Here is a 9,231-nt window from a genome sequence, read left to right on the forward strand (position 1 = left end):
TTCTCAGTATTCCTTAGCTCATGCCCTCTTTCTTGAATCACTACAGTCTCTTGCTTTTTTCATCTCATCTCCTACTATTGTAATCAAATCTCTTTCTGCTTCCCTCTTATAAAGATACTTGTGATTACTTTGGGTCCATCTGGATAATTCAGGATGCTCTTTTCTTCTCAAGATTTTTAACTAAACCATATCTGCAAAATCCCTTTCATTATGTAAGGTAACAAATTAACAGGTTCTAGGAATGTGCATTTTGGTATCTTTGAGAGGCTGTTATTCAGCCTACCAGAGAAAAGAATACACAAAATTAATTACAGAGATGATAGGCTTATCTACATAGAAACCCCCAAAATATCCACAGATAATATATTAGGATTAACAAGAGAGTTTAGGTGGCTATACATAAAATCCACTTCAATAATGCAATTGCATTTTTACATATCAAGATGAAATAGTTAAAATTGTAACAAAAAAGTAGAGAGAAGGGCAATGTAGATCATTAGAAATGATGCTGGGACAACTGGTTAACATATGAGAAAACTTTAATCCCTACCTTACTTTCTACCTGAAAATGAATTCTAAATTGATAAAAGGCATTAATGTGAAAGGCAAACTTAGAAAAATATTAGAATAAAAATAGGAGACTATTTTAAATATGATACAAATAGCAATAATCTTACAAGAAATGGTTGATAGCATTATTATATTAAAAGATCCTCTAACATAAAAAGAAACCAAAACAAAGGCGAAAAGGACAAACCAAAATCTCAGAGAAGATATTTTCAACACCTAAGACAAACTAAAGATTAGAATCTAAAAGAAATCTGCAAAGAAAATAAAGAACAATTCAATTGAAAACTGAACAAAGGATGTGCACAGTTATTTCATGGAAGAAATAAACATGATTAACGTTTGAAAAGAAGTTCAACCTCTTTATGCAAATTATGACTTCAACAGGGAACTATTTACAACCATTTAACTGACAAAACAAAATAAAGGAGTCTGACAATGCTGATCCTGGTAAAGGATGTGGAGTAAGGAGAACTCTCATACTTTACGAGTAATGGCATAAAGTGGAACCACAACTTTGGGAAACAATTTAGTATTTTCTTAAAAGTTGAAGATGAATACGACCTATGATCCAGCAATTCTACTGGGTATATGCCCTTGGGACACTCTTGCTTCTGCATTCTAAGGGATATAAGCAAGAATGCTTGTAGCAATAATATTAATCAATTATAACAGCAGAAATGGAAATAATAATTAAATACACTGTGGTATAATCCACCATGAAATACTATTTAACAGTGAGAAAGAATACATGACACTTATCTGGAAAATGGATGAAGCTTAGAAACATATTGTTGAAAGAAAAAACAAACCTTAAAAATATATACAGAATGATGTAATTTTAATAAACTCCTGAGCAAAAAATCTAAAATATATATTGTTAAGCATACATATGTGTGATGAAAGCTATCTTATAAAAAGCAATAAAATGATAAACACAGTGTACACAGTAGTGACTCAATATGGGTGGAAACAGGTAATTGGGTTTGGGAAGGAGCCAACAGACAGTTTAAAGCATACAGTGTATTCTAGTTCTCAAGGTGGTACTGTGTATATATAGACACACACACAAAAGACTACATGACACACACACACATATACATGATACATACATATGATACATACATAGACACACATATATACATGATACATGACAGACACACATACACATATATTTATTCATAAAGAAAGAAAAGCAAGCAGTATAGCAGTGTCAGTTTGTCTATTACATATGCTGTAATTGGTCTGGCCCTACTACTAGACATAAGGGCACGGGCATATTCAGTTCTCTGGCCCACCTCTGACACACAGGGCAATAAATAGTTACAGCATATCAAATTTAAAAATAAATAAATGTGTCAATTATCTGAAGATAGCACATTGGGGTGCTCTCTCTGGCAATTTTAATCCATTGATTTGCAAATGGAAGTTTAAAGGCAGTTATGCACAAAATATCAAATTTTTAATTCTCGAGTTTGTATTTTGTTTCATCTTTCTTTCCAAGGAATAAAACTGCTATGCTTGTTCTTCTGTATCCCAGAGAAATAATTTGATGGCAGGAGTTCCTATGGCTCCAGAAAATCAAAATAATTCTTTCCCTTCAATAAGTACCTCTTTGGCTTTGATACAAGACTCTTGATTTTTTTTTTTTAAAACAGAGTAGGGCTTGCCACCTCCCCCTAGTGGCCAGGACGTGCCAGTGGCACCACTGGGTTCACTAATGTTCGATATGGCACAATTAACCTAAGTGGTACCAGGTTGGAGGAACAATTTTAGAGGCAGCTTTACATCCCAGCTTGATTTTTGACATTTTTTTTTCAGATTGATTTGAATATATTTGAATATTTTCTTTTTGGTCTAGTGTACAATTTTCTTTCCTTCAGGGTGGGTCCAGTCCATACATTCTTTATCTAGGCTCTCTCGCAGAGGAGAGGCTATAGTAGACAACATCAGGGAAAATGTGATGCCAGTTAGTTACACCATATTATTTCTTACTAGTTAATGACTTAAAAGTTTATAGCTAATTATACATGCAAGGCTTCTTTATTTTCATAATATCAAACTTTAAGCACGTGGGGAAGAGGTTGGGATGGTAGAGGGCCTATCCCAACATACTGTCAAAGTTATAGTTTATTCTGTTTATACCACACATATATTTATATAGCCATGTGAGATTGATATTAGTGGTATTTTTATTTCAGATGAGTAAACTGAGGCCCAGAGAAGTGAATAATTTGGCTTAGGTCAACTGGCCAATTTGTTGCAGAGTTAGAATTAAAATCCAGCTCTTCTGACTCTTAATCCAATGCCCTTATTACTACCACGCATCACTTATGTATAAGATAAGTTCTAGGGCTGATGATGGGTCTCTTGTGCTTAGCAGGATCATGATGTGGGGGAAGATCCAGGATGCCTAACTTTGTTTAATGACCAATTGGCTCCTTTTTTAGTATTTTATTTCCGATCTAATAAAATATTTTTCACAATGGAAACTGTCTTTTGAGTGTGAGCTTTATATTTATATTTTATATTTATATTTATAGAATAGAAAGTGTGAGCTTTATATTTATATTTATAGAATCCCCTTTCTTCCATTCTCAGTGAGAGCTCTATCAAGCCAGAGCATCGTTTCTATTTTTTCTTAGGTCAAAATACATGAGGCCTTTCTAGACCCCAGAGTAGAGATCCTGGACTGTTTTAATTATGGTAGGCACAGCATGATAGATTATTAGAATATACCTCAACATTTATTTTGCTCTTAGATTTTTTGGACAGTTGTATATCCTGGGAGAAGATTTAAATGGAAAAATAGCAGCATTTTTTAAGGTCTTTGTTCCCCATTTCGGAGGTTTTTATATCCATTTAATCTTACCAATATGCCACACTCAATCTGCTTTTCTTAGTTAGCTTGGCCACCCACACACCTCTGTCTGGTGTCTGGGTCAGAGTTTTCAATTCCTATATGTGTTCATACTTCAGGGGGAAAAATGCCCTTTTTAATCCAGGATAAACTACAACCTTATTTCCCTTGGCTTATCTTATTAATATTTGATGACATTTACTTTCAAAGCAACTTTGCACAGTTACCCTGGAGTGTTTGCACAAAGGAGGCTTTCTAATGCAAATCTGACTGAATTTAAAATTTTAAAAAATTTGGCTCAGATGAGATTGCCCTCAATGTAATAGCCAGCAAAGCAGTTATTAATTTATTTACTCATTGATTTCTTAATATATACTGTAATGTATTTAAAAAATTTGTTACAGACATTATGATGAGTATTAGTTTATGGTTTAGTGGATAAGATATTGCATAAAAAAGAAGCACAGCTTCAAAATCTAAAAAAAAGATTTTGCTCTTGATAGAAGTTCATTGTAAGAAGGAAGGAGAGTACACACCAGCCAGGCACTGGGGAAACTACCTGCTCTTTCTTAAACACATGAAAATTAAAGATTTTCTTTTACACTTGAGTACGAAAGACCCTCTTCAAGATTTGTTTTGTGATTTGCAGTAAAGGAGGTGCCTATGCACTTAAGTCAAGGAGATGAGATCTGGTGAGTGGTCAATTGCAAGGGGAAAGTGGATACTATTATTTTTTGGTGAGTTTTAGTTTATTTGAAAGGAATACCATTGAAATTTTGAATTTGAAATACAGTATTTGAAACAGCATACTGGCCACAATTATCATCTAGTAAAACATTAAGGATCTTTTAAAGAGTTTATTGAATTTGTTCAGGAGAATGAAGAATTCAAGATCTAAAAAGGGATTTCAGTATTTGTCCAGAGGAGTAAATTATTAAGTTTCCTTTTGTTAGGTGAAATTTTAAGTTTTGGAATATGAGACATAAAGTTCTATTAATGATGGAGGGACTGATTTCCCTGTCGATATGGCCCAGCAAATGCAATGTTAACAGGAGAGTAAAGAGCAGTTCAGTGAAAGAGGTGACAATGAAATACTCTGGAAAGAATGAGGAGGCATCAGAGGCTTTCAGAGGAGATGTAGCTGAATTGTACCGGTAGAATGAGTAAACTATGAAAAGGGGAAGATGATGGAACTATTTCTCCAAGAGGAATTGATTTGCACACTGAAAATGTTTGTTGAGCCATTATTGTGAGAAAGAAAAATGTGTTAAATGATGGGGAAGATATAAAAAGCATAAGTAAGTTTACTATTTAATAAGATATAAAGACATACACAAAAATGAGAGGTAATAACTAAAGATAGTAATAGTGATAGAGAAGTTCTAAAGGCAGTTGTAAGGTGGTTTATGTATAAGGTTGTATAAGATTGTCAACTTTAAGAATGAAAACTCTCAAACGCCTGTCATCATCTTCTCCCTAATAATATACCTCTTTTAAAGTCATTATTTCCCCTGCAATGGAAAGTAGATCATGTCATAAATTATAGTCTTAATCATATTAATTGGCTTAGTCATTTCTTCTTTATGACACTACATGTCCTGAAAATGAGAGTAAATTTAACAAATTAGTTTAACTTGGAGATTTGATAAGAACACCATGTTAGCTAGAGTCAATAAAACCATCCTGGCAAATTCTTAAAGTTCATTATCAGCAGCAGTTACGGGATTTGTTGATTTCCTCTTCTTCCTTTGCCTGCCTCATAGAAATCCTACAGCCTCTACTTCCAAATATAGTTTCTGAAGTATTCCACTGCTCTCCATTTTAACCTCTTAGTCCAAGCTACCTTTGTCTCTCCCCTGGGGTTTTACAATAGCTTCCTACTGATGTCCCAAATTCTAACCTTCAGCCCTACAGACTAGTCTCCCACCAGAGCCAGAGGGACCTTTGTGAATGGAAAAATCAGATCATGTCATTCCCTGCCTGAAACTCCTCAATACTTTCCAAACTTACCAGCATCACAGAGCTTCTCTGATCTCATGGTCTACCACACTTCTTGTTGCCCACATTCCAGCCACATTAGGTATCCATCTGCTTTTCATGCATTTCAAACACACTGCATCTTTAGAGCATTTGCAGATCCAGCTGCCTCTGCTTAGAGTATGTAAAATAAAATAACATTTCAAGACCTTCTAAATTTATCATGCCAAGGAAAAAGTTAAATCCTGGAGACTGAGTCATGTAACAGGTTTGCAATTCTGCATCTTTTTTTTTTTTTTTTTAGACGGAGTTTCGCTCTTGCTGCCCAGGCTGGAGTGCAACAACGCGATCTCAGCTCACCGCAACCTCCGCCTCCCGGGTTCAAGAGATTCTCCTGCCTCAGCCTCCCAAGTAGCTGGGATTACAGGCACGAGCCACCATGCCAGGCTAATTTTGTATTTTTAGTAGAGATGGGGTTTCTCCATGTTGGTCAGGCTGGTCTCAAACTCCTGACCTCAGGTGATCTGCCCTCCTTGGCCTCCCAATTGCTGGGATTACAGGCGTGAACCACCGCGCCTGGCTGCAATTTTGCATCTTAGATTATAGATGAGCTTTCTCCCTCATTGTTCCTGTTCTGGAAATGAGAAGGAGAGACCAGTGACTAGACCGCTCTAGCTTTAGTCATTGACCTTTGTTGTAGATTAACTGCCTCCTGTCTCCTGTATTGTCCTATACTTAACTCAGATCAGATGGCAACCAAGACCCTGTTACTGTTACATCTTCAGTGTGGAATGTTAAATATACCTTTCCAAAAAGAAAAATACCACCTAGACTAATCATATCACTGTAAGTACGCATTTGGCCTTACATAAATGTTGAAATTCTCTTCACCTCTCCTAAACTTTGTTTATATACATGATCCCAAACTTCTACACTTCAAGACACTGACTTTTACTTTTTGGAATCCATGATTCCCAGGTAGCTTGTCCTCAGACTTTGTGTTTGAATCAACTCTCTTTAAGCTAGATTCTGATCCTTTTGATTATTTTAGGTTGACAAATGCTTGTCTCCCAGGTTTTCATATACCTGGTGATTTTCATTCAAGTCTCAATTAAAACATCATCTCCCCAGAGTGGCTTTCTTTAACCTGGTCATTCTTTAATATAGTACCTTTTAAATTTTATGCATATTTTTTATTTCTATTTGAAATTATCTCACTTATTTACTTTATAATCTCTGTCTCTCTCTAGAATATCAGGGTCATAATGTCAGGATCCATTCTACTTCTTCAAGGTTTTATCTCTAGTACCTAGAACAATACTTCTATAATGGTAAGTACACCACATATATTTATTGAATGGATGTCGAATTGTAATTGAGATGCTCTCTTCTCATTCATCTTCCACATTTTGAGGCAGAGATGATGGTTGTGGCTTGGGTAGGGGCCAAGGGAAGACTTCCTCTTTGCCCTCTCAATGGTCACTAAAAAAATCAACTGACAAAAGGCAGATTAATAAGAGAAAAGGCATACAAATTTACTAATGTGTACATGAGGGAGAACAACAGAGTGATTACCCCAACACCCCAATGAGGTTCAGAATCTTGGATACCATCTTTAGGTTACAGAAAGAATGAGGACTCCAAGCATGGTCAAATGGGTTATGCTGCTAAATTGGGTTGCGGTGGCAAAGCAGGTTATAGGCGAGAAGAGGAGGCTTGTAAGCAAAAGTGGGTAGCAGTCCCCCAGAAAGAATAGATAAATGTTTCTTTCAGACATTTAAAAGTGTCAGACTCTCAGTTAATCTTTCCTAGATCCAGACAGATGAGGTAGAACCTCAGAGAAAACCTGGTTGCATCAGTACAGATTCTCTGCAGATAAAAATCTCCCCTACAAAAGACAGCTTTGCAGGGCTACTTCTGTTTGCAGGCCCTCTGAAGGGCCATCTCAAAATATATCAAAGAAGTGTATTTTGGAATGAAATATCTTGATTTCCTTCAGTTGGTTCCCACAGGCTGAAAGGGGAATTAATTTCACCAGAATTACTGCTTAAGACAGTTTTTAGCTCAGTATAAAGTAAAATATCTTTTGTGGCTTTGTAGAAATCTAAGTTTATGATTCCAAAACTTCATATCCACAAGATGAAACTCATTAGCTGATGATAAATTTAAAGTAGGCATCCAAAGCGATAAGAAAAAAGGAAATGCAAGAGCAAGTTACAAATAAATTTTAAATTTCTAACACTGTATGAAAGTCTTAAATCATGAAAATGAAATAGTAAACATCCAGCTATTTAGAGTCTTCTATACTATTCAGGATATGCAGCATATATGAACTTACTACTATCTCCTTGTTCCTAAAGTAATGTTCTTAGGCTTAACGTGGAAGCAACTATGAATTGAAAGTGCACTCTGAACAAGATTTTCTGCTTATTCCAACAGCAGTGTTGAATTTTATTCATATCTATAATGATGTACTTTCATGTAAACATATAATAATTGACGATTAATCACCCCTTGTTTCCACTAGGTATTCTGGGGTGTGTTAAAGCACTACTAATGATTATTTTATTTGTCATGACCTTCCTTGAACAAGTGGTGGAAACTCAAGTTAACTTCAGGAAAACAGAAATTTATTAGTTCCCCAAACCAGAAATTCCAGGAAAATTTCATGAAGTTATATCTCTATTTCTTCATCTCTTACTTATGCTTGTCTCTCTCTCTCTTTTAAGCATTTTGGCATTGTTATCATCTGCAGATGATGAGCTTCTTTTAGTAAGTTAATGAAAACTGGAGCCAGGGTTATATCTACCTCAAGGAAAGAAGTAGTCCTAACTTATTCCCACTAGCTTGTTCATTCATTCATTAAATATTGATTTAACCAATATGGATTGAGTGTCTTTTGTATCAGAGTAATTCTTTAAAAAATTCTGCTTTTATAGACCTAGATTAGGCTATGCATCTCTTCCTGGACAGAGGAATAGGCTATGTTGATAGGCCAGTGCAATGTCAGGCACCTCCACATTGGCCGGGTGAGTAGAAAGCACTGTTATGTATATGGATTTGAAACAGTTCCTAAAAAAACAAAAAGAAGGTAGGTTTATCTCAGTTATAGGAAGGCAGGTTTATCTTCGTTATGATGGGCAGACAAAAACTCATAGCTATAGTATTTTACTGAACTAATGAGGGCCCTACATAATTAATTATCTGGGTATAAGGTTCAAGGTAAGCTGACAAAAACATAAAAGATGAGAATCACTATAACTTATTTCATTTCTTTATTTAAAAAATTCTGTTTTGGAAAAAAAAAGCTTGATGAAAGTTGCTTACATACCTTTTTATTTCTGGCTGGGTTCCTTACACAATTCCCTGTGCAATTTAATTGACATGTGGCTAAAGCTTTGTGAGTCTTGTTGAACTTAACAGTTATATAATTTTCTTTGTATAATTTAAAAAAGGAAGTTCTCAAATGAAAGTCATAAAATAATTCAGCCCCCCACTCTCACCGTGCCCTACAAACGTACAGCTTAATTTTGTCCATCTGAATGCTTATATAATTCTAAATTTGTGTAAATACTCCTGTTTCCAACCCTTCCCCATTCCAATTTCACTTTGGTTTTATGTTTCAATAGAACAATTCTTTCTTATTCTTAAATTCATTATAGTCTTCCCTTGATTATCTCATTAATTCCTATTCTGTGTCTGGAAAGCAAATTTTTTTCTATTCTTTCTTACTTTTACAACAAATATATACTAACTACCAGTTAGAAACCAAGCACTTGGCTGAATTAAAAGAATAAAAATTCTTTTCAATAAGATACTTTGTTACT

At 35.1% G+C, this 9,231-nt stretch overlaps 1 annotated feature.

Annotated features, from left to right (window-relative positions):
• Positions 2,159-2,208: an enhancer, noted in NCBI's record as "active region_1411". NCBI's record gives its function as "activates an Ori minimal core promoter by ATAC-STARR-seq in GM12878 lymphoblastoid cells {active_cell/tissue: GM12878}" and the evidence as "EXISTENCE:reporter gene assay evidence [ECO:0000049][PMID:35858748]".

The sequence above is a fragment of the Homo sapiens genome, chromosome 1 (genome assembly GCF_000001405.40).
Source record: "Homo sapiens chromosome 1, GRCh38.p14 Primary Assembly".
Lineage (NCBI taxonomy): Eukaryota > Metazoa > Chordata > Mammalia > Primates > Hominidae > Homo > Homo sapiens.